The sequence below is a fragment of the Homo sapiens genome, chromosome 13, assembly GCF_000001405.40.
Source record: "Homo sapiens chromosome 13, GRCh38.p14 Primary Assembly".
Lineage (NCBI taxonomy): Eukaryota > Metazoa > Chordata > Mammalia > Primates > Hominidae > Homo > Homo sapiens.
The window spans coordinates 40194509-40220721 of NC_000013.11; the positions used below are offsets into that span (position 1 = coordinate 40194509).

Sequence of the window (26213 nt, forward strand, 5' to 3'; positions counted from 1 at the left end):
CTTAATAGAATTCCTTCAATTACACGTATGTTTTCAGCAGCCGGGCCAATCCTCCTCCTCACAGGGGTGAGGTCAGCAAACCCAGGAAGCTCTCAGAGCCAAGAAAGCCTCAGATCCAGGAGGAAGTAGTTATGGATGCCCATAGCTGAAGTGCTCTGTGTCCACTGGAAGTAAAAGGAGCAGGTTCCTGCCGAAGAATGTACAGACGACGTGAAATCATGTGTGGCTACACTGAAGCTAAAGGCTGCCAGCCAACCATAGCCAGTTGGGGATATAAACCTCTAAAAACCAAAACTGGGGAAAAATGGCTCCCCATTTTCTGAGGTACTCTTGGAGCACAAGCTGAATGAAAACCAATCATCATTGCCCTGCCTAGCATGAAGCAGAATGAAAAGAAGGCAGATAATATTTCCTCCCCTGAACCACTCATCCATATCTGCTCTATTCAGATATTTGTGCCTAGGCAACTGCACCCACCCCTCTCAGCATTTACCCACAGATCCTCAAAACCAAGCCCTAGCACAATCGACTCCAGTGAAAATTAAAAAAGCTATCCCAAACATCTCCAAGCTTCTTTCCTCTGCAACTTCCCTCCTTCTTCTTCATCACCAGTTATACCACCAAAGTATCTACAACTGCTCAGATGCAGGCAAACTACCCTGAAAGTGCTCACATGTATTTCTTCCTTCCCTTGAGGGTGATATTCTACAGTAATTCCATTATGTTTACAAATAGAAAAGTTATTTCAATACATCTGTATATTATATATATGTATATATATACACACATAGCTTTTATATCACTGACACAGTGTTACATGCAATAAAGAGAGGAATTATTTATATCAGTACAATTTCCAAATTAGTAATTGCTCGCATTGAATTAGGTACTGTACAAATGGATTACAATGCAAATATATAAGCTATATACAAGCTTATAATTTTGAAAATATTCAAACTTGGGACATTTACGGGTATGTTTTGAGATGTGCCTATACCTGTGCATCACAACAGTGCCATAGGTCAGTTTTTCTGAGATTCAGGTGTCCATCGGATCTCCTGATGAGCCACAGGCCCTCAGAGAGGTCTACATGGTAGCTACAGGTCAACAGATGGCATGAACAAGGGCATTTCCTCCAGCCGAAGACTATGAGAACATCTATCTCTGAGAACATCAGAGTCTGCCCTCTGATACTCAGAAGAAGGTAGACATGAGCCCAGACACCTAGCTTGACTCCAGCCTCCATTAGCCGCTCCTCCAGGATGAACCATCCAATAAGACATTTAGTACATACCATTCGAATGCCCCAAATTCAGGGAAACATACAGTTAAAATAGGTCACAGGTAGACTTCTTGAATACAGAAGCACTGTCTTACTCAACTAAATATCTTCATTGCCTGGCAAAATTTCTGTTTCACAGTGGTTAATAAATCCTAGCTGCTTAATCAATGCATGAATAAATTTTGTCAAGCCTCAAATATCAGAAAGCCTTCAAGGAATTCTGGGAAGGTTAGGAGAAACAAGGTGTGGTGTGTTAGTGTTGATAGGAAAGACAACTTTGTAGGGCCATGGGTAAGTAGGATTTGGTCCACAGATTTGGAGAAAATGCAGGGAAAGAATTGGTTGTGAATTTACCTATATTGTCCAGTACCTCTATTGCCCAAATGTGCATGGTAAGGAATACTGACCCGGCTACTGCCTAGGATATGGAGACCTAAGACAGCCAAGATAGGAAGGATACACACCCACACAGAGTGCAACTTGATGGATAAGCAGCTCACAGAAGGTGACTTCCTCCAACACATTTCCTTCACAATTGTACCCAATTGGGATGGAGGAGATTCTTCTGGGTCTGAAGCAATATGCTCAGCTCTGTGCCTCTCTGTGGGAAAGGAGAGCATGGGTGTGCCCATTAAAGCATGCGTGTGTCCATGGATGCCTGCTCAGTCCCACAGAGCACCTGAGAGACAGAACTGGACCAATGATCATTATCATCATAATTAGAATTGTTACTGCCAGTAGTTGTGTTTAGTCCAGTGCCCAGCACCCTGTAATGTGTCCAATAATTGGACTGAAGGCTGAGCATAAAGAAATGCTAAATAATAGTAGTTTCATATGACAGATGAAAAAGCAAAATATAGATGGATGCAGAAAAAAGTAAAGGAAGCACTTGCTTTGATGTATAGACCTTTACCAGTGTTAAGAAATCAGTGGTGTGGCATTGGAATCTATACTTAGGGCATATTTAGTATACATTAAATGCGTGTTGGTCTTGCTTCTCGCACCAAATAAGTACAGTTGGAACAACTGCAATACTCACAGGAATTTTAAAGTACGTTGAAATGTACATAGCTATTTCTGAAGATGTTTAAAAACACCCTTGTCCCATTACTACAGTGCCCCCAAACGCTTTTTCATTTGAAAGCCAATAACAATGTCTTCACCAATCATATTCCTACGATCCCAGCAGGTGGGCAAGACTAGAAAAGCAGCCAGGCTACACATTTGCATCAAACAATAGAGAAACAGCCTTTATGAGGGACAGAATATAAGGAGAAGGGACAGGGTGAGGAAAGAGCACAAATAGGATTGTGTCTCAGCAGAACATCTGAGGTTTACCACCATTCCATCAACTGCATCCTCAGCAAGCTGATAACGATGAGCCTTTAATGCATTTGCTGCCTCTGACTTGTGCGGCCCAGCATGCAATCATCCAAATGATACCACAATAATGCTGGAGCACACATTAAGCACTTACTGTAATAGCTGGACTGCTGAGCAGGAGACATCGAAGGACGCAGAGCAGCAGGCATTAAGGGTGCCTTTGACTGCATGTGCACACTCGTACGAAGCCATGGTGTGGACTCCAATGAGCTATGTAGTGAGGACTGCAGTGAGATCACTGAAGAAGGAAATCGAGCAACGAAAGGTTGCTGATGGGACCTCTCTATTTTTAGGTTAAAAAATGTATTACACCAAAAATGAACCCTAATGTAAACTGTGGGCTTCAGATGATAATGATGTGTCAGTATAGGTTCCACTGTAGCAAATGTACCCTCTGGTGCAGGATATTGACAGTGGGGGAGGTGGTGTGGAGGGGAATGGGATATATGGGATATCCTTGTACTGTCTGCTCAGTTTGACTATGAATCTAAAATTGCTCTAGGACATAAAGTCAATATATAAATAAATAAATTTCAAACGTGGGATCTGGGGAGTTGTACGATATTCCCTGCAGTAAATAGCATTACTTACATATCAAGCGGCCTCATGCAGGTGAAGATAAAAGGACATAGCATCAAACATCTGGGTGTCTGCAGCAAACCATCCCAACTCCCGCTCCAAAGAAAATGACTCCAAAGGTTTTCCTGTTAGCATATTTCCAGTTATCAAAATCTTATGTTTTCAACCATCAGACATCTTGAAAGAGTAGTTGATGTTTTCATTGTTGTCATTACTCTTAAGTCTTAATGGTTCTGTGTTATTTTCCTGTGGCTGCTGTAACAAATCACTACAAATTTCGTATTTAAAATAAATGCAAGTTTATTATCTTACAGTTCTGTAGATCAGAAGTCTGGTATGCATTGCAGCCAACTAATGTCTAGGTGTTGACAGGCCGTGCTCCATTCTGAAGGTCCCAGAAGAGACTGCACTTCCTACTCATTTAGGTGGTTAGCAGAATTCCTTGCACTGGTAGGCCTGAGGTCTCTATTTTCTTCCTGCCTATAAACTGAGAACTGTTCTCTGCATCTAGAGGCCACCACATTTCCTTGGCCTATGGCCCTCTTCCTCCATCTCCAATATCATATCTCTCTGACACTCTTCCTGCTGGCTCTTTGACTTACAAAGACTCATGTGATTAAACTGGGGCCCACCCAGATAACCCAGGATAATCTCCCCATGTCAAAATCTGTGCCCTTAGTCGCAACTGTGCAGCCTCTTTTGCTCTGTAAGATAACATATTCACAGGCTCCAAGGATTAGGGCAGGCACATCTTTGAGGGGTGGGGCGTATTATGCCTACCATACTCTCCTTAACCCATTAATACATGGCCCTCATCCCCTTCTGAAACTCATTTCACTAAAGTCATCTTGAACACTTAAATGCTAAATCCATCCTCATCCATATGTGACCATTCTGCAGTGTTTGACACGGACATTACCTAATTCTTGAAGCACTTAGCTTCTACGTGCTATAACACTGTCTGCTGATCTATTCCTACTCCCTAGACCACCTCTTATTGAATCCTGCATTCATTTCTCTGCTTTCTTGTTCTTTCTTTGCACAGTGTGGTGGCACCTGTACATCCCAGGTTTGTGTCCAGATCTCCTGGACCTTGGTTCCCAATCATAACTGCCTTCTGAGCTCGGCTTGCATGACACATAGGCTCCTTTCTATTCTTCACATAACTGATTCCTTTTTCTGCATGATATACCTCATCGTGGCAACACCAAACCTCACTCTTCCATGACAGATCGTTAGAAGTCATCCTCTTCCGCCAGGCATAGTGGCTCATGCCTGTAATCCCAGCACTTTGGGAGGCTGAGGCAGTCGGATCACCTGAGGTTGGGAGCTCAAGACCACCCTGACCAACATGGTGAAACCCCATCTCTACTAAAAATACAACATTAGCCGGGCGTGGTGGCACGCACCTGTAATCCCAGCTACACGAGAGGCTGAGGCAGGAGAATCACTTGAACCTGGGAAGAAGAGGTTGCAGTGAGCCAAGATCATGCCACTGAACTCCAGCCTGGGCAAAAACAACAAAACTCCATCTCAAAAAAAAAAAAAAAAAGTCATTCTCTCCTCCTCCTTCTGCCTCTACTCACAACCCCCCAACCCAGACAATGATAATGTTCTATCTTAACTCCTGAGTATCTCTTGAATCCACTCTCTCCTCTCTTGCTTGCTGTCATTGGTGATGTTCAGGCCCCCAGTATTAGCCCCAAGATTACTGACAACACCCTTGAGTCTTGTGCCACCACTCCCGGCCATTCTTCACATTTTCACCAGACACAGATATGATCTTGTCCCTGCTCTGTTTAAAAACATTGGTTGGCCAGGCATGGTGGCTCACACCTGTAATCCTAGTACTTTGGGAGGCCAAGGCAGGTGGATTGCTTGAGTCCAAGAGTTCAAGACTAGCCTGGGCAACATAGAGAAACCCTGTCTCTACTAAAAATACACAAAAAAAAATAGCTGGGGTAATGGTGCATGCCTGTAGTCCCAGATACTCAGGAGGCTGAGGTGGAAGGATCACTTGATCCTAGGAGGTGCAGGTTACAGTGAGCTGAGAGCATGCCACTGCACTCCAGCCTGGGCAACAGAGTGAGACACTGTCTCAGAAACAAAACAAAACAAAATTGGTTGCTGCCCATTGCCCAAGAGCATCAAATCCAGCTCATGGCAATACCCTGCATACACACATACCCCACTGGCCTCGAAGGGGTTGCTGGGCTTATCACCCTCCCTTCTTCCACTTGCTATCCATAGCCCCAGATCAGTCTACAGACCAGCAGCATCAGCATCACCTGGGAGCATGTTAGAAATACACAATCTCAGGCCCCACCTCAGATCTACTTAATCAGACTTTGCATTTAAATAAGATTCCTATTTAAATTTTATGCACTTCATTAAAGTTGGAGACACATTGCTCCAGAGCTGTGCTCCCCAGAGTGAGGCAGGTGAGGTAAGCTTTTGAGTATGGAAGCATCTTATTAGAAATTCTCTTTATTTTTATGTGTATTCTCCTCCCATTTAATTTGGATTTTTCCACATATTTTATGAATCACTGCCCATTTTAGCAAATCATCCAGACCCCTGTTCCTGTGCTTTTGCCTACACTATTCCTTTTGCCTGGAATAATTTTCCTACTCTCCACTAATTAAAACTAGCTTCTGAACCCTGCAGCATCCCCTGCTCTAGGAGGCTTCCCCATCCCTTCAAATGGGTCATCACTCTCACTTCCACAATCTTGTAGACATTCTTCTTGCATTGCTTTTGTTTGCCTATTTATCTGCTCCATTAGGTCATGGGCTCCTCAAGGATGAGAACTGTTCAATCTCTATCTGTGTGCCCTCAGAGCATGGCACAGTGATATTTTCTTAGCTAAACAGATGAATAGCTAACTTGAGAAAATTCTGCTATATTTGTAATACCTTTTTATTTTTCACGCCTCTATTTGAAACAAAAGAGAGTTGTTGCCTAATCTCTTTCCTGAGATCACACAGCTCATACTTCTGGATGATTTCTAGCTGGTGACACACCAGCTGGACAGAGAGCTGAAAGTAGACAAGATTTCATTCTCACTCACCTGTAACCAACCCAGAGCATTTCAAATCACGCCCCTTCCAGCTTTGTGTCTATTTGGCATGGATATACACTACAAAGCAGAGAGGGAACAGACATCTGGATTAGAATGTTTAGCATCCTTTGCTTTGTGCAGACTTTAAGCTGAATACATATTTCATGACCATGGTCATGCCAACATTATTGCCCATATGAGCAAAGAGCAAACTCCTCATTTCAAAGAAAATCATTTTGTTTTCTGTCAGGTCCAGGGTAACATTGAATGATTCTGACCCCAACTGGTAAGCTACCACCAAATGGTATTAAGTTTATTAGGGATATAGTCTGACATCTTGTAATAAAATGGTAGCTGATAAATTTTTCAGGTTGGCATATTTCTCTAAATCATATACAATGAAATTTGGCATGTGCAGAGGTCAAAGAGACATATCACAGGACTAAAGTCCATTTCTTCATATGCAAACTTGAGATAATAACACTTACCATGTAGGGTTACTGTGAAGGTCTAATGAGATGATACATGTAAACAAAATTGTACACTTTAAAACTCTACATAAATGTATTACATTTTATTAATAACATTAATCTTTTTTAATGAGTCCTTAGATTTCACTTCATCGGGCGGGCAGTTGCAAGCCCTCTACTCTTTCTTAAATATTTCTTTTTCCTGGCTTTCTGTTGTTCTCATCCTCTTTCTTAATTCAAAGGGATCTATATAACCCTTAGAATTAACTAGCAATTCAATAGTGTGAACAGGATAACCACTTACAGAATACACCTATGCATTTCATTTATTTTGTTTAATCAGGATGTGAGTAAATTATACATTTTTTTCCTCCCTGACATGTCATGCACTTAGCACTATATAGAATTAAACTTTAAGCTAAAGGGTGACATCATTTCTTTTTTTTTTTCTTTTTTTTTTTTTTTTTTTTTGAGACAGAGTCTTGCTCTCTTGCCCAGGCTAGGGTACAGTGGCACCATCTCGGGTCACTGCAACCGCCACCTCCCGGGTTCAAGTGATTCTCCTGCTTCAGCCTCCCGAGTCACTGGGATTTCAGTTGCCTGCCACCACACCCAGCTAATTTTTGTATTTTTAGTACAGACGGGATTTCACCATGTTGGCCAGGCTGGTCTTGAACCCTTGACCTCAGGTGATCCACCCACTTTGGCCTCCCAAAGTTCTGGGATTACAGGCATGAGCCACTGCACCCGGCCCAAGGGTGACATCATTTCTTATCACTCTAATATCCCTTGCCTATGATAATAAATTATCTGCCTCAAACAAGATAGGTGTGCACTTGTTCACACGGAAAGGTAGGCAGGGAGAGGCTAGAAAGAGGACAGAAAATCACAGGAAAGATGGAGACTTAGATGTTGTTTTTCACTTCGGCTGCACCAATATCTATTTTATGGCTATTTTCTTTCAACTATTCAGTACAGTGAAATAGATGTAAGATCCATTCAAAATTGAATTCAGCAAACTTAATTAACCATCTACTACTATAATATGCCAAATTCTATTAATTAAAATAGCAAACATAAATATTTTATATTTATGTATCTAGATAACTGGAAAATAATACAAAAAATCGTATGAGACAGAAAAAGTATATACTAGAAAAGTATATACTATATACTAAAAAGCATATACTATATATGAAGGACTATGATAGCAGAGAGGGATTAATTTAGGCTAAAGAGAATCAGGAAAGCTTTCTCAGAGTATGTGATTTTCTTTGACGAGGGCCCAAAAGGAGCTGAGAATTGGGTAGGCAGAGATGGATGGGAAAGGGATTTCCATGAAGAGGAACAGTGGCATGAGGGCAGGCATGGGTGTGGCAAAGAGCAATGACCTCTACAGAGACATGAATTATAGCACATTGTGCAGTGAGTCTGTTATTCACGACAAACAGGCTTTGTTAAGGATGGAAAATGAATACCTATTATGAGACGTACTTTTGTGTCTTCTTTTTAGTCACGTTAACTGATGTATAATTTACATACGGTAACATTTCCCCTAATATACTTATTTTAACATCTAGCATAGGGCCCCAATGTCTAACTGAAAACTTTGCACATTGCAAATATTCAACATATATTAACTAGGGGGATGAATGGTTTGCCATCAACATGGTATTATTTGATGTTATAAACTGACTCTTTTTTCCACAAGATCTGTTGGTAAGCCATTAAATTGACATGGTAAATAATATTAATGTTTATCTTGATAGTTGTCTGACTTTCAAAGGTCCCTTGACTGACCTCACTATCTATCTCTTCATTTATAAATGCCTGCAGGTATGTCAACTCTCTCTCCAGAGTGTCTCAGGACATTTGGTTTGAAAATAGTTGATATGATTTGGATATTTGTCCTCTCCAAATTTCATGTGAAATGTGATCCACCAAGGTTGGAGATGAGGCCTGGTGGGAGGTTGTTTTTATCATGGGCGTGGATCCTTCATTAATGGCTTGGCACATCCCTTACGGTAATGAGTTCTTGCTCTGTTAGTCCATGAAAGATCTGACTGTTAAGAAAAGCCTGACAGCTCCTCCTTTTCTCTTACTTCCTCTCTTGCCATGTGACATGCCAGCTCCCCTTGTCTCCCACCCTGAGTAAAAACTTCCCAAGGTCCTGACCAGAAGCAGATGTGAACACCATGCTTCCCGGGCAGCCTGCAGAACCGTAAACCAGATAAACCTCTTTTCCCTATAAGTTACCCAGCCTCAGGTATTCCTTTACAGCAAAGCAAAATGGACAAACACAATAGCCATAGAAAATCCTGAACAACATGTAAGACAGGTTATTTTATTTATTTCTCACTTTGTGATGAATAGACATTTTCTAACTAGTACTTTCCTTGAGGAAGAGATAGGATTTCATAGGGAGACTATATTATATTAAGGCAAAAAGACAGCAGTCACATTTTATTGCCCAAAGCCCACTTTCATTCACATTCTCTCCACTTATGGGCACACATACAAAGCAGGCATTATGTGCCCAGTTTGATAGATAAGGAAAAGAACTTTGAAGGCTGAAGTGACTTATTCAAGGTCACACACACAAACATATGGGCAGCAGAGACAGGACTAGAACTCAAGTCCTTACAGTGCTCTTGAGATGAAGTTATTAGCAACAGTCACAAAACACTTTTTAATTGAGGTAAAAAAGAGTTGAAATCACCTTTTTTATGCTGCCTTTGATAAATCTATCTGTCAGAACTCAGTGGTGGAAAACAGAAATGATTTTAGCTATTTTAAACTGAAAGGGATTTAGTACAGGAAATTCAGTGTTCATACAACTATTGGACGGGCTGGAAGGGTAGGCTAAAGGTTGGATCCAGGAATGCCTTCCAGTACGACACTGTGAACCAGCCTTCAAGGCAGCTGCTCCCTCTACCCCAGTTAGAAGGTGGGGTGCCACAGGAATGGTTGACTTCCAGAACACAACCTGGAGCTGTGAGATACAGAAACTACCAACATGCTGCTACAATTGCTTCTCTACTCACATGAAGCTTGTGGCTATACAGTAGAATTTGGCTGCAGGAAAGCACAGCATCTTCAAGACCTTGCATGCCAGCAAAAGTAGTCAAAGCTGCAGAACTCTGCCCTTTTGTCACATTTCCTCTTTTCAAATCTTGCATAGGCACATCTAATTGTGGAAACTTCTTCGCTTCCATGACTCTAGCTGCAAGGGATTCTGGGAGATACAGAGTTGGAATAAATGCCAAATGCCAATCTACTATACCTACAACCCAGAAATTTGGAAATATCAACAGTGTCTCCCAAGACAGATTAGAAATGGGATTCTTGGTCTGTGCTTTAAATGCAGACATCACAGGCAATCTGCATTCAGGTGCCACATGTGGTTGCACAGGTTGTGCATTCCTTAGAATATGAAAGGAATGAACTCCTCAGGTTGAGCACTAGTCACAGAGACTATGGATAGAGTGGCCAACCCTGAAGCTACTCAATGAATAATCTATGCCAGTCTTCTCAAGAGCTGTCTCCATCAAAGCAGGTCTTGGTTATAGCTTTGATATGGAAAGAAAGCCATATATATGACTAGATTAAGGAGCTACTTAGAAATGGACACATTGTGGAGGATCCACCACCCAAGGTGCTAAGGCCATGACCACAGGAGGAAGGTCGAGTGGAAGTTGAGATTGACTTGACAGCCTGATAGCCACAATACCTGCCCAGAGAAGTAGGTCAGGTATTTTCATCAACATTTCTTAGAGCTTAGCATAAAAACACCAGAGAATAAAAGTATCATATGTTATGATCTAAGAAAGTCAAAATCAATTATGCTGTACTGAGAAGTCTTTGAACTGAATTTGCATTATGTAAAATTAGAAATAAAAACATGTTCCATCTCTCTACCCATGTGTTAAACAGACACACACACACACACACACACACACACACACACCAAAGCTCCTTTTTATTATTTTTATTATTCTTCATTTATTTATATTTCTGACTTTTCTCTCCAGATAAACTCAGAATACTGTATTTTGTTCTAGATTTCCCACTCAATAAGAACATTGAGAAGCAGGAATATATTCAGAAGGGAGCAATTAAAACAGGGACAGGTCTGGACCCAATGACATGGGTGAAACAGGTGAGAATTAGGAAACTACTATTAGCCTTGGAAGAGAAGGTAATGGAAGAAAGATAGTCATCTTCACATATCCAAAAAGCCCTCATTCTGAAAGGCTAGGGTGTGTGTGCGGCTCCAGAGAAAGGAATCTGGAAAAATGACTAAAACTCACAGAAAGGGAGAGTTGGGCTCAGTTTAACCATTAGATCTAGCAGCAAATGAAACAAGCTACCTACGTAGGTATCCCTGTGGTGAGATAGCACCTCTAATCATGTTGATCATTTGGTGCCTTGTGTCTGCTGCATAGACAGACTTGATCTGCTGCTGGACTTGAAGCAACACAAGAACACGAGTCATACAGTCTCTCCTCTGTACCCCCAACTCACCCCACAGTAGATGGCATAGGGACAGGAACTCAAATACAATCTAGATGAAAAAATGAAGAGATGAACAAGGCCAAAGGCCACAGATGACATCCTCACAGAAAGACTGGCTTTTGTGGGCCACCCCAGATATCTGGCTCAGCATGTAAGAGTCAGCAATGCTGAGGAAACTGGTGCCTCGGCCAGGGTTTTGCCAAGAGCAGGCTCAAAGTGTGGGCAAGAGAAAGAGAGACACCCATATGGAAGCTCAGAGCCTGGCCTGAGCACGATTCCAGGTAAAGCTGGTGGGAATGAGAGGAATTGGCAGGTTTGGCACAGATGCTATTATGCTTTCTCAGCACTCAGAAACAGTGGCAGAAAAGGCTGGGTTTTTTGGACGGGGAATAGTGACAGAATAGCTTCTAGATATAGAGGGCCTTTGTTTCCAGATCTTCCAGCGTTCTCTATGTATGATCTCATTCACCCTACCTCTGCTCTGGGAAGAAGCAGGCAGGTGGCTGCTACAGAAGGCACATAGGCCTGTTTTGACAAGAGCAGGCAGAATGGCTCCTCTCTGGCAAGCAGCCGCCTTAACAGCCAAGAAAGGACTGTCTTTCAACCCCAGTGACATCATGGAATGATTTGAAACCATATCAGTCCATTTTCTATTCTTGATCCTATGACTCACTGGTTAATATTGAAATGTATATCGCTAATCGTGAATTAGTAACCTGTGATTCAGTGTTGGACTGAATCAGTGAGGCCAAATGGATCTGTGGAACAATTGTGTGTGTGTCTGTGTGTGTGTGTGCTTGATCCAGCACAATGTGTAGAAATGCACCCATCTCCTACATCCACCACCCTACACCTCCACACAAAGCCACCCCTCTCACTAGCTCCCCAGAAGGCCAGGACTGTCATTCTAGTTGCACTGCTACTGAAGTGCATGGTACATCTGATCTGCGAGTGAGCACTTCCTGTTACCTTATTCATAACACCCTGGAATGAAGCTGTTCCTGCCCTAGCTCCACCCCTATCACTCCATCATTTCTTGTATGCCTCTTTTATTTAGTACCTCCCAGGTTTAAGGGAGGGACAGCTCCCACCTCCCATACCTGCCTGTCTGATACCCCAGGGTCCAGCTTGCAACTCTCCATTCTTACAAGTCAGTGGCCCTAGGCTGCGTATTCATGGGCTCAGATGAGAAAGCTTTCTCTGTTGATTCACAGGAAGAGTATTCAGACCTTTGACTTCCTGTTTTTGATGAACCTAGTGAAAGAAAAAGAAGTGCCTTTTTAAAAATATAATTGGCCCCAAACGGTAACACATAAAAGAGAAAAATGGAAAATGCACATTGACTAAGGACTTGTCCATGAAGCCCATCGTCAGGTTGAGGTGCCGGGGACCACCCATGACGCATGGCTAATACTGGAGCAGCCATGTTTCTTGGGACACAAGACATGACTGTTTTTAGGAGAGGAAGTGAAGAAGGGTGTCTTCAACTGAAACCCCAACAGACAAAATGTGTGCAAAGTGAGTCAGTGGGATGCAAATGGACTGTGAGGAACTGAAAAGTCTAACTCCTATTCCAGCAGATGGGGGCTTTTTCCAAGCACTAACCTACCAACCTGATGCGTCTCATTCAAAGGACTGGGGGAAGACCTCACTCATATTCAAAAGTGGCCAGACGATGGAAATGCAAAATACAGTCCTCCATCATAACTCTGGCTGAAATAGCTGTTGTCTATGCAGCATCCATTGCTTGTGGAGGCAAGGTTATAGAGACCAGGGCAGCCTGTGCCCTGCATTGTGAGCATGCTGGGTAAACTGACTAGGGAGCTATAGTGAAGAGGTGTTGAGCCCTTCCCAGCCAGCAGGAAAGCTAAGGGAATCAATATCCCAGCATACCTGTTATCCATTCAAGCTCTGGTTAATAGATGTCATGGTGGCATCCAGATGGGTGTGCCTGGCTTATCAGTGCTTGCAGTGTTTTTCTTTACAGAGTTCTGGCCACCCTCAGAAATGTCACAAGTGTTCAGTTAAGTGACCCCCACACATACTATATGTTCAGTAAATAATATGTCCCTTCTCTCTAGAAAGACTTTATAGCTGTTAGGAATATGGCCCTTGGCAACAACATTTTGGCTTTGCTATTTATAAACTAGGCACCCTTGTGCAAACTGTTAATAATCTAGAACTCTTTCCTAACAGGTTTGTTGTAATAAATTTACTTAATATAAATAAAACAAAGCCCAGGCTATAATAAGTGCTCAATAAAAGGTAGGTAATATTTTTCTATGCCATGGCTCCTCGCATTGATGAATTGCCCCAGGCTGGGCTCAGGCTACATTATTGCACCATTTGTCTTCATGTATTGTAGTTGATTTGTATTTGTCTGCCCATACACACTGGACTATGAATCTCGTAGTGCAGGAGCTATTTCTTGCTCATTTCTGTATTCCCAGCACATAGCATGGGGATTGGCACCTAGTTGGTATTAAAGAAATGAACGTCACATAGCATATTTGGCACGCAGAGCATTGGACCCATGGTCAACGTACAGCAGTGACAAGAGGATGTACCAACCCTTTTTCTTCCCAGCTGCAGGCCTTCTTTCTCTTAGTCTTAGTCTTATGAACCTGCAGAGTCCCCTTCAACCGCAAAGCTTGGGCATAGTATTTCTTGACACATGGAAGCTTGCCCCAGATATTACAGATCAGAACTATGGGGGTGGCACTATGGAATCTGAAGTTTAACATAGACCCCGGATGAGTATGAAGCCCATGGAAGACTGAGACCCACCAAGTTGGGGAAACAGCCACTGGGTTGTCCTGCATGCAGCAAGCAGAGATCAGCAGGCTGCAGGCAGCCTCCGAAACAGAAAGGCAGAGTTTCCTTTCCAACTTCTATAAGAACAAGAAAGCAGTGATTCTCACACCTGCAAGACAAAGGGTGGTGCCACCAGGTCTCAACAGATGACACCTGCGTGTAGAGATAATCACAGGATGAGCCACGTCCTCCAACACAAGATAACAGAACACTCTTTCTCAAACTCCATCAATTCTATTACACCAATAACCCATCCAGAACCCAATTCAACCTTTCTGAACCCAGGCCAGAGGCCTAAATTCCTTGCCAGTCACTTAGGGAGGAGGCAGGACCCAGCATTTACTATGCCCTACTAGGTGGCATGCTTTGTACTAGGCCATCGTTAAATGGCAAAGCATGCACAAGAAGGATGATTTAACATCACTTGGGTTTAGTAAAACCTAAACTCCACATTCCCTCATTGGGGAAATTCTTTTATTATTTTTCTGAAGAGTACAGGAGGTTAAAATAAAAGCCTACCAGTTAATAGCTACATTACAGGCTATGGTTCCATTAAAGCAAGGGGGATTCATACCTGACAACTAGGGGCACATTCATCTAAAACGCAACATTAAAGCCATGAGGCCTCATGCTCCATGCAGATACATCACCACGGCAACAGAGAGCAGAGATGCATGGAGAATAGGCAATGTGAATTTCCCAGGCTCTCATTAAGTTTTTAGTTGATTTGTATCTAAAATGTCTTGGCCTACAGCATCATGTTGGAGAGAGCCACTGACTCTGCAGAGCAGGTAACAAGAGATTCACATTGCATGTTTTCTTTTTGGGCAGCCTCTGGGGGAAGTCAGCACAACATGCCCACTCAGAGATGTCCAGCAAAACATCTGTTCAGCAAAACATCTGGACAGCAGGCACCCATCAGGGCCCATAGACAAAAAGTTTATATAAATCCTTTAATCTGAACTCTTACTCAGGGCACAAACAGCCTTTTGCTCTATGCACCAAACAGCCCACTCAAGGGCAGAGTGTCCAGGGCCCAAGGCAGTACTGGGCCAACAGCACAAGCCTGAGCTTGCCTTTCTAGGGGTGCTTGTCATCCCAAGCACCATCTACCCTACAGAGAGGGCTCATCATGGCCACAAAGCCCAAGCTCTCTGTCTTCCAGTGCAAGAAGGTGACATGAAACCAGTGGAAATCTGGAAGGATCCAGTTGAATCCATAGCTCTAGGGACAATGGTGGGATGTGGTCATTGAGAGGGGCAGTTTTGTCAATGTCAATTCCTCAAGGGTTGGCACTCAAGTTAGGGAAATGCCCAGCTTTTCTCTTTTTTAGCAGAATGGTTTTGAGCCACTTATTGTCATTCTCCCTTTCAAGAGAGGGCTAGAAAAGGAAAATGAGGCCGGGCGTGATGGCTCACACCTGTAATCCCAGCACTTTCGGAGGCCAAGGCGGGTGGATCACGAGGTCAGGAGATCGAGACCATCCTGGCTAACATGGTGAAACCCCGTCTCTACTAAAAATACAAAAAAATAGCCGGGTGTGGTGGCGGGCGCCTGTAGTCCCAGCTACTCGGGAGGCTGAGAAGGGAGAATGGCGTGAACCCGGGAGGTGGAGCTTGCAGTGAGCCACGATGGCGTCATTGCACTCCAGCCTGGGCGACAGAGCGAGACTCTGTCTCAAATAAAAAAAAAAAATAAAGAAAAGGAAAATGAATCCTTTTGAGCCTCCATCAACTAACCTTGAAAAAGGATGGGAAGGAAAGATTAACATGGACAAATGAGGCATGGGTTTTGTGAATCCACACTTCCTCTAATGGGTGCTTTTTGGGAATGAAGGCTAACAGCAGAGAAGGGTTCCTTTCTGCTTCCTCCACTAAGTGACTCCTTTAGAAGCTTCCATGATGGCACAACTCTGGCTTAGGTGTCCCTCGTTGATGTTCCTATAGCACCCTTTCATGATCTGTATTATAATGATTATCTGATTGTCTCCCACTAAAGACTTCAGTCCATGAGGGAAAGAACTGTGTATTGTTTTGTCATTTGCCCCATGTCTGGAATATAGTTTAAAAAGCAATAAATATTTGTTGGATGAAGACTTGAATAAAGATAATGACCAATATATAAACAAATACAGAACCAGAATGCTTGCACATTGTACCCTATTCAGGGCTTTATTTTAAACACCTTATACCCAATTACAAACAACTGTGAGAGGTAAACAGATAATAGTGTTGTTTGTAATTTACAGGTGTGTAAGGCAAGCCAGGAAGAAGTTAAGAAAAGAGATAGAACAGATGTGGAGCTGAAAGGTGTGCCAAGTCTTTGCCTTCTGGGAGAGGTCAGGAACATGCACAATTTCAATATAGCCTGACCACTTGTACATGGCTTTTCACTTTTTCAAAGTGCTTTTACTTTTACTTGAAAAAGCACTTTAAAAAAGTGAAAAGCCATGCACCAATGGCTATATTTCATCTTGTTTTATCTTCACAATAACCCTGTGAAGGAGAGCAAGCTGATACTACTACCCCTGTTTTATTTATTTACCTTATAGATAAGGGAAAGGAGACAGAGAAGCTTGACATCACACCCCAAGACACCTAGTGAGCGGGTGGTAGAGCCAGTGTTAGAAATCCTGAGCTGGTCTTTGTTTCACCGGCTCACGGTGCTGATCTCACCCAAGCACTAGATCAAGACTGGCAGAGGCTTCTTCCAGAGGAGAAAGGAGGGAAGGGAAGGGAAGGGGAGGGGAGGGGAGAAAATGAGCTCTGGAGGAATAAACAGGGAAAGGGGCCTCCAGGAGGCAATAATCCACATGTCAGTCAGAAACGTACTCATGAGCCAGACACTTGAGGCCAACAACTGCCCATGGCTGCCCCTCTTCACCTCTGACAATCTCTGCCCAGTGACCCTTTCCCATTCCCCTGACCCCCTTCCTCTTCCATCTCCCACAATTGTGAGCCAAACTTTCTCCTCTGCCTTTGAACCTCTGTTTATCTCAGTTCCTCTACACCCCCTCCAACTCCACTAAGAAAATGAGGCCATCAGTTAGGAACATTCTGTTTCCGTGGACAACTTCTTCCTTGATCTCTCATCAGCTGTCTACACAGTTGACCATGGCCTCCTTTGTTAAGCCTTCTCCTCTGTTAGATTTGGGATATCTGCCCTCTTCTGGCTTTCCTCCTACCTCACAGACTGCCTCTTCTCAGCCTCCTCCCTCCTCTCCTCTTCTGCCTGTCGGTATGTCAGCATTCCTCAGGGCTCCTGCTCCCCTCCATCCAGGTAGTTTCATCCGGTCTCATGAATTTTAATCTCTTTCATGATTACCAAATTTCCATCTTCACCTGCTCTGCCCCTAAGCAGTAGGCTCCTACATCCATCTGCCTACTTACATGTCCATTTGCATACTCCAATGCATGTCAAATTTCACTTGTTCAAACATGCTTTGATTTGTCCCCTAAAAACTGATCTTCCCATCTTCCTCAACTGATTCATTGGCACCACCATTCACACAAATGATCAAAACAGAAATCTTGGAGTCATCTCTTATCCCTCCCTCTTCCTCAACCCTCACATTCAATCTATTGCCAATCCTATTGGGTCTACTCCAAAAATTTGCACTTAATCAATTTCTCTCTGTTTCAAACATTCCTGCTATAATCCAAACTACCAACATTTCTCATTAGGACCACAAAATAGAGGCTTATGAATGGGTTCCCCATTCCTCCACAACCCCTTCCTCCTGCACACAGCAGCCAGCATGAGCTTTTAAAGTAAACAAGTTGTTCCTCTACCTAGCACCTCTCAATGGTTTCCTATTGTACTTAGAAGAAATTCCAAACATCCCGCCATGATCTTGAGACACACTCCATCCAGGTCTTACCAAACTATCCAAGCTCCCCTCGTCATCCCTACACAAACTGTGCTCCAGTCACACTGGACTTCTGACAACTCACACGCAGACCTGCCTCCCCCGACAGACTCTGTGCTTACTCTTCACCCAGCCTGAAACTCTCTCCCCTGGTTCTCTGCACAGCTACCTTCTTACCCTCTAGCTTTCTGCCTAAATGCCATTCCTCAAAAAGGCCCTCCCTCACTTCCTTTTATTAATAAAAGATATTCTCTAATTCAGGATCGTTATAGCATACAACCTTTGTGACAGGCAACAACTTGTAGTTATTTAGTGACTCTCACAAGAGAAGTTTATATCTCACCCCTGTGATAATCCAGGGTGATTCTAAGCTGGAGAGAAAGGAACTAGGAGCGTAGGGAGTTGCTCAACACAGAAAGTCTGGCACTCAGGCTGAAGGAGGCTCTGCTATCTCCACCACGTGGTCTTCAAAGCCTCCTTGAAGGTTGTCATCCCCATCCTTCAGAAGAAGGAGAGTCTAGAGGAGCATGCATGGGAATTTCAGTAAGTGGCACACGCATTTCCAATCACATTCCAAGGGCTAGAACTCAACCATATGTTGCATCCAATGGCAAAAAAGACTAGGATGTCACCGGCTGCATATGAAGAAGAAAGAAAAATGGTCTGGCAGTCTGGTGAACAGCTGCCTGGCCTCTGCCATGCTGTCCTTTTTTTTTTTTTTTTTTTTGAGACGGAGTTTCACTCTTGTCGCCCAGGCTGGAGTGCAGTGGTGTGATCTTGGCTCACAGCAACCTCTGCATCCCGGGTTCAAGCGATTCTCCTGCCTCAGCTTCCTGAGTAGCTGGGATTACAAGTGCGTGCCACCACACCCAGCTAATTTTTGTATTTTTAATAAAGACAGGGTTTCACCGTGTCGGTCAGGCTAGTCTCAAACTAGGTGATCCGCCCACCTCAGCCTCACAAAGTGCTGGGATTACAGGCGTGAGCCACCGTGCCTGGCCCATGCTCTCCATTCCTTCTGCCCTCAGGCTTAGTAGACATGGTCTCCCTCTTTTGTTCAAGGTCAAATCTTCCCCCTCTGCTTTGAATCTCATCTCTTTCCACCTCCTCAAGGTTCTTTCTTTACCAATTTTCTCCTTTCGTTTCTACATTTTCAACTTCTTCCTTTGTACTTGGATTCTTTCCTCAAATGACATCTTTCATTTGCTAAAGCCACCAACAAATTTCATATTCCCACATCCAATGTCTTTATTTCTCTTGAACTCTGCAGGAGCTGACATTGTGGACCCCTTCTCTCTATTTTAATTCCTCCCCCCATCTTTAGTGATAACACTCTTTGCTGGAACTATACCACCCTTTTTCCCCCACTTCCATAAATATTTTTCCCAGCCTACTTTGTGTTCTCTGTGCTTTCTTTTGCTCTTTATGCATCACCCCCTAGGTTCTGCCTCTTGCCCTTGTCATCATCCCATGTGAACTTCATCTATCACCAGAGCATCAACTATCCTTTGCACTAATATGACTTCCAAATCCATATTTTTAAATGAGAACTCCCTACTACCCTCTAGCCATTATATTCATTTATCTCCACACCATCTTCACTGAGTGTTCTTTAAGTATTTACACCTCACCTTTTTCCATGGAACATTGAAACAGGTCATTTTATATATATATATATATATTATATATATAAAATATATATATAATATATATAAAATGTACATATTATATATAATATATAAAATGTACATATTATATATAATATATAAAATGTATATATTATATAATATATAAAATGTATATATTACATAATATATAAAATGTATATATTATATAATATATAAAATGTATATATTATATAAAATATATAATATATAAAAAATAAACAATATATATAAAATATATATATTATATAAAAATATATGTTATATATAATATATAAAAATATATAATATATATTATATAAAATATATTGTAGATTATATAAAATATGTAATATATAATATATTATATAAAATATATAATATATAATATATTATATAAAATATATAATATATAATATATTATATAAAATATATTATATATAATATTATATATTATATATTATATAATACATATTATATAATATATAATACAGATTATATATTATATATTATATAATACATATTATATATTATATATTATATAATATAGATTCTATATTATATATTATATAATATATATTATATATAATATAATTTATAATATACATTTTATATTTTGATGAAGGATTAAAATATCAAAGGGAAGATATAGCGAAGAAAATCATAAAGTCACAGGATCCCATGTAACCCTAAACAGTTGAATTATCTCAGCTTCATTATCAGCCAGTTCAAAGGGAAATATGATAGTTACTAGATTTACTAAATCTAAATAAAAAGCAAACTAAATATTTATTCTCTTTAGATCCTAAACAATTTCTTGCAGGGAACCTGGCTTTGTAATATTTTGGATATTTCGGAGGAAGTTTTGGACTTCATCCCTACCCTAGAATCAACAACAGGTTGCACATAGATGTGGTTTAAAAATCTTCTTCTATAAAGCTGAGACATAATGCCAAGGCATAATACAATAAAGCGAGCGTTTAAGAGTCCAAAACAATACAGCTCTACCATGCAACTATGTGATGGTCTGGCTTGTTTGCAAGTGAAGATCTGAACATCTAAAGAAATATATTTACTGCAAATTATTAAAAAATATCTTCCTATACTTATTGTTTCTCACAACCAAGTTATTCATGGGATCAGATAATAAAGGCTTCTCTGTTTCAGTATTTGGCCCACAACCTAAAATGTAGACAGCAAGTGGTGTTAATAATTAAGGCATAGATGCATAGATCTTGACAATAGCCAAGATGTTGTCCTCTTAAAAAAAAGTAGAAACTTAACCAAGATAGTCTCTATGGAATCTGCTTCTGAATATCCCTCAGGCATTTCAAACTCATCTTGTCCAAAACTCAGTTCACCATCACTTCCCTTGAACTTTCACATCCTCCTGTTACCTCAAGACGCAGACTGAAAGGAAACACTTTCAGCACAGACACTTGACAAGAGAAATATACAAAGTACATAAAGAACTCCTACAACTCAATAAGAAAAAGAAGATCAACCAAATAAAATAGGCAAAAGATTTGAAAAGACATTTTCCTAAAAGAGGAACTACAAATAGAGTCATCATGGAACCCTTCTCCCAAAGTGGGTCCTGCCAAACAGTAGTTCAAGAAGGGCCTCAAGGTCAAAGGCAAGGAATTTGAACTTTACCCAAAAATTACTGAATGATTTTAAGCAGGGACAAATATGCTCAGCTTTTAAATTCAGCAAGATCACTCTGGATGTTAGTAAACGTTGTAATACATTAAAAATAGAAATGGTTCTATGGTCAAAGACATCTGGAGAACCTAAACCATCCATCAGGAAGCTGGGCTGCAGGAGTCCTCAAGGACACTGCGGAGTGAAGCTCTGTCACTGTTGAGTGACTGTGGTGAAGATTCTTGTCCTTGACTTCCCTCTCATACTCTTCCACTCAGGTGCAGTCAGTCACTCCATCTCGCAGGGTCATTCCAAAGTTGCCTTCTCTCCTATCTGCACTCTTGATGCTTTCTATGTTAGCTCCTAATGTGGCTCCTGACCTCCCATCTAGCCCACATTCAGCCCACTCCTGCCAGAGGGAGATCTCTCTAGTGCAGATCTCATCACTTCACTCCCTTAACTAAAATCCCTCCATAATTCTCCACAGAAAATAGGATCGAGTTCAAGTTCCTTACTGTAACTTACAAGGCTCTTTCTAACTTGGCCACTGCCACTCCTCAACAGGTCCCTGCACCCCGGATTTGAAAAGCTGCTTGTCCTTTCTCAAAGGGATGCTTCAGCAACCTGCACCTTCGCACGCAATGTCCCCTCTTTATTTTCCTCCCCAGCCCCCTTGCCATTCATCTTCTAATCCCACTCTTGCTTCAGAGCTGTTCAAACGCCCCAGACAGTCTGACTTCCTTGGAGACTTTGCGGGTAAGATTCCATGCCCCAGCCCTCCTCCTCCCTCCATCTACACCCCCTGCTGCGGGGTGCTGTCACCACTGGTGTGTTTGTTCATCTCCCTGATGGGAGTAGGTGAGCCTTGAGATCAGGGCTATGCTGTCGGTTCTATTCATCTCTGCATCCCACACACCTAGCACAGAAAATGCCCACCGGCCATCCTGTTCACTCCTGCTTGTCTTTCAGACTCACTGCAAACTCACATCCTCAGGGAGCCTTCTTTAACCTCATCCTACTGGGTCACAGACTTCTGTCGTGAGCTTTCCCACTTCCGTTCAATTTTCCTCAACACTCTTGTCATCCCTCATCACAGCTTAATTATTTAGCAGTGTGATTACTTCACAGCGAGTGTCTCCATGAGGTAGGGATCACATCCATTGTGCTCCCCGTGTTAGAGCAGCACTTGGCACAGAGCTAATATTCCATCATTATGAACAAAGGAGTGGATGGGAAAGCATATGTGAATCTACAGTAGTGCCTGCCTGGGATAGAAGAGGCCAAGGGCTTGTTTGTTGTTGTTGTTGTTGTTGTTTAATTCAAGAGGGCATGTGTGGTGGTCACCTACAATCTGATAAAGGGTGAAGAAATCAAGAAGCAGAAATCCTACCGATCAGGTTTGGATGTTTGTCCTGTCAAAATCTCATGTTGAAATGTGAGCTCCATGTTGGAGGTGGGGCCCGGCAGGAGGTGGCTGGATCATGGGAGTGAATGCCTCATGAATGGTTTAGCACCGTAGCCTCGGTGATACGTGAGTTCTCAGTTAGTTCAAGTGAAATCTGACTGTTTAAAAGTCTGGGACCTCCCCCATTTTCTCTCTCTTGCTCCCACTCTCACCATTTGAAGCACCTGCTCCCTACTTCACCTCTGCCATGACTGGAAGTTTCCTGAGACCCTCACCAGAAGCAGATGCCGGAGCCATGCTTGTACAGCCTACAAAACTGTGAGCCAATTAAACCTCTATTCTCTATAAACTACCCAGACTCAGATATTTCTTCATGGCAACAGAAAAACTGACTGATACACCTACCTACAAAAATCATACCAAGATGCTCCTGTTTGGAGCCGATCATTGTGGTGCATGCCTGTAATCCCAGCTACTCAGGATGCTGAGGCAAGAGAATCACTTGAACCCAGGAGGTGGAGGTTGCAGTGAGCCGAGATCATGCCACATAATTCCAGCCCGGGTGACAGAGCAAGATTCTGAAAAAAAAAAAAAAAGAGATGCTCTTGTCTGGAGAGAAGGGGAAAGGGGATGTGGTGACATACAGAGAGTTTCTCTTTCTCTGTCCCTTTCCCATGTCCATGACTGAGTGCAAGCAGATGGAGGAGAAGAATACGACATGCTGAGTTTGTCAATGAAGGAGTCAGGCTGACTCAGAGATGAAACCTATGGTGTACTTTTTCCCCTGGTTCCCCAGTGGTGTTTAATTACCATCATTATTAATTTATCACAGTAATTCTCTTTCAAAATCATATAGTGCTAAAAATAGTGTTTCATAAACGTGTGAAAATTGAATCTAGAAATTATTTACCAGGTTCCACATCCTCCCCAGAACTCCTCATCAATGAAAATTGATTTGAAGCTGATTTTTTTGCAAATCCATTGCCCATTCACCAACCAGTCCATGGAAATAGAATAAGCAGAAGGTCCTCCCTTTCTCCTAATAGCACTCCAAACTCCCTTTCCTCAGCTCCTTTGATCTGAAAATCTTTATCTTAAAGCACTTTATACACGGTCATTAATTTTCACAGCACTCCTGCTAAGAAGATTCTATTACTTCCATTAAACCATAGAGTAAACCAAGAAGCCAAATTAAGTGATTTGCCCACTCAGGAAATTAGTGGCCTGACTCAGTTCAAACATAGCAGCTAAGATTTCCAAGGCCTCGCAGCCAGCTGCCACCCTGACATTTCCTAGCTCCATAGAGTGGATAAGGGCCTGGGCTTCTGTGTCAGTACAACCTGGGTTCAAGTCCTACTTCTGAAATTTCCTTGGCAAATTACTCAACTTCCTTAAATGTGTGAAAATCTGCGATAAGAACACTTGTTTCATAAAGTCGCTACGAGGATTAAAGATGATAATGTACACAGAAGTACTTAATACATAACCTGGAACAAATAAAGAGCTATGTTATTATTATTGTACACACCTGGAAGGGTATACTCTTCACCCAGCCCCCTCTCATAATCTTTTCTTCACCACATCAGAAAATGAGCAAGCCACACCTGCAGCTCTATTTACCTCTGCTATATGACACACACATTTGCAGATAAAGTCTTCTATGGGAATAATAGGACACCTGAGCACATTCCTGGGGCACTGCTACATCAGCAATTATCCAAAGACTCATTGACATATCCACCCACCCACACATCCTCCCATCCATCCATCCACCCATTCATCCGTTTGACCACCCACCCATCCATCCATCCACCCACCCATCCATCCATCCATCCATCCATTCATTCATTCAAGCTTAGTACACATAGTAAGCACCTACCATGTGTAAGCCTGTGTTAAATATTGTGGGATACACTAAAATGATTCAGACATGGTCTCTGCCCTCAGAGCTATAAATACAATTAAAAGAAATTGTAAAACAAAATGGAATGTAAAAAGTGTTTTAAGGGAAGTTATTGAAAGTGAATGAAGGGCATTGCCACATGGAAAGAATAGTGAATTAAGAACAAGGAGATTTTTTTCTCAGCCCTGGTTTTAATGTTGGTCTAACATAAACCCTGTCACCTCCCTAGGCTTTGGTTTCCCCGAAGTAAGGAGGCAGAAGTGGAAGATCCCGAGGTCCCTGTAACTTCTAACATTTCATTCCCTCTGCCTCTACGTAAGTGAAGGTAACATTCAAACTGAGCACTGAGTAGCAGGGTATTGCATTCCAGGAGTGGAGACTCATACAAGCAAGTTTATGAAGATAGAAATACATCAATATTAATGGAATGGCAAGTGGTACCATTTGAATACAGCGAATGGCAAAAGAAGGTAATGTCTTGAGAGTTAGATTCAGAATAATTTGTGAAGGGCCTTATTTTTAGGCCAGAGAAATAAAAGAATTAGTTACTATTGAGCAAGTGCAAAAGAGCCTTCTTATGTGTCTGTGCAAGGAGCCTACTTTCTCAGAGTTACCTTCTCCCTACACTTCTCACACCTCCTTACACCTGCGCACCCTACAAGCAAGGGCTGGACATGGCCGAAGTCAATCACTTTGCAGAAAGTCAAAGTCCCTATTGAGAAAGGCCCCTGAAGAAGCTGAGCTGGGGTGCAGGGCCTCCCCCATATTCCCTGTAAGCCCTGTGATCACCAACACGGAGTTATCTTGGAGGGCTGTTCTCGTCTCCAATTACGCCCTGTACATGGTCATATTCCCCCACCCTCGGCAAACCAAAATGAGGCGGCAGCAAGGGCGAGTAAATAGTCTGTTTAGGGGCGTGCAGGCAATGCTCCAGGTTGTGCCACCAGGCCTCACTGCCAGGCCCTCTGTGATGGGTGCTCAAGCAAGCAGGGGGAAAGGGGTGCTTTCCTGTCCCCGCTGGAACGGCCTTCCCACCCATCTGCCTGGTAAACGCCTACTCATACTTCAAGCCTTAGCTCCAGAGTTGTCTGATCTAGAAGCCCTTCTTGACCACCCTCAAACCCTTCCCAGGCACAGTGGGCCCCTCACTCTACCCTACTCAGAATTTTCACAGCACCCGTGATTCTTAATCGTATTTATTCACATATCTTTCCCCCAAACAAGCTGCAAACAATCCCTTGGGCAGGATACTCTGTCTTAGTTATCTTCGTACTCAGTCACCTAGCCTTTACCTGACACGTGGTTGTACCTCATGAGCATTTGTCAATAACAAGAGTAGCTGACTTTCGCAGAGCACTCACCCCGAGGCAGGCACCACACTGGCAGCTTCACATGCACTAGTCATTCAATCCCCACAGCAACTGTTTATGTTTGGTGCTATTATCCCCACTTTATAGATGAAGAAACTAAGGCATAGATGAGCTAAGCAACTTGCCCCAAAGTGAAAGCACTACTTTCTTTTCCAAGATCTTTATCACTTTAGATATACAGTAGGTAAAGCAATCTGAAATTGAGAAAACCTCTAACGCCATTGCAGAACTGGGGGTTGTAAAAACGTTAGTCCAAGCTGACGCTGAAACAGTGGG

General features: G+C 42.4%; 1 protein-coding gene and 1 long non-coding RNA gene across 2 annotated transcripts in view, besides 1 other annotated feature; both read right to left on the reverse strand.

The window, feature by feature from the left end:
• Positions 1-23185, reverse strand: part of LOC124903162 (uncharacterized) — a 138590-nt gene extending 115405 nt beyond the window's left edge. Inside the window, exon 1 of the mRNA XM_047430821.1 lies at positions 23070-23185. Within this exon, the coding sequence (XP_047286777.1) occupies positions 23070-23122 (53 nt within the window). The 5' untranslated portion in view covers positions 23123-23185. The remainder of the gene's footprint in view (positions 1-23069) is intronic.
• LINC00548 (long intergenic non-protein coding RNA 548) lies at positions 1-25994 on the reverse strand. The gene is made up of 6 exons (NR_033877.1): positions 25929-25994; positions 12391-12544; positions 9820-10010; positions 3257-3369; positions 2760-2903; positions 1-1883 (listed from the first exon to the last, which is right to left on the reverse strand). It is a non-coding gene; the product is annotated as a long intergenic non-protein coding RNA 548 (long non-coding RNA).
• Positions 12252-12351: an enhancer, noted in NCBI's record as "active region_7602". NCBI's record gives its function as "activates an Ori minimal core promoter by ATAC-STARR-seq in GM12878 lymphoblastoid cells {active_cell/tissue: GM12878}" and the evidence as "EXISTENCE:reporter gene assay evidence [ECO:0000049][PMID:35858748]".
• Positions 25995-26213: the final 219 nt, after the last annotated feature.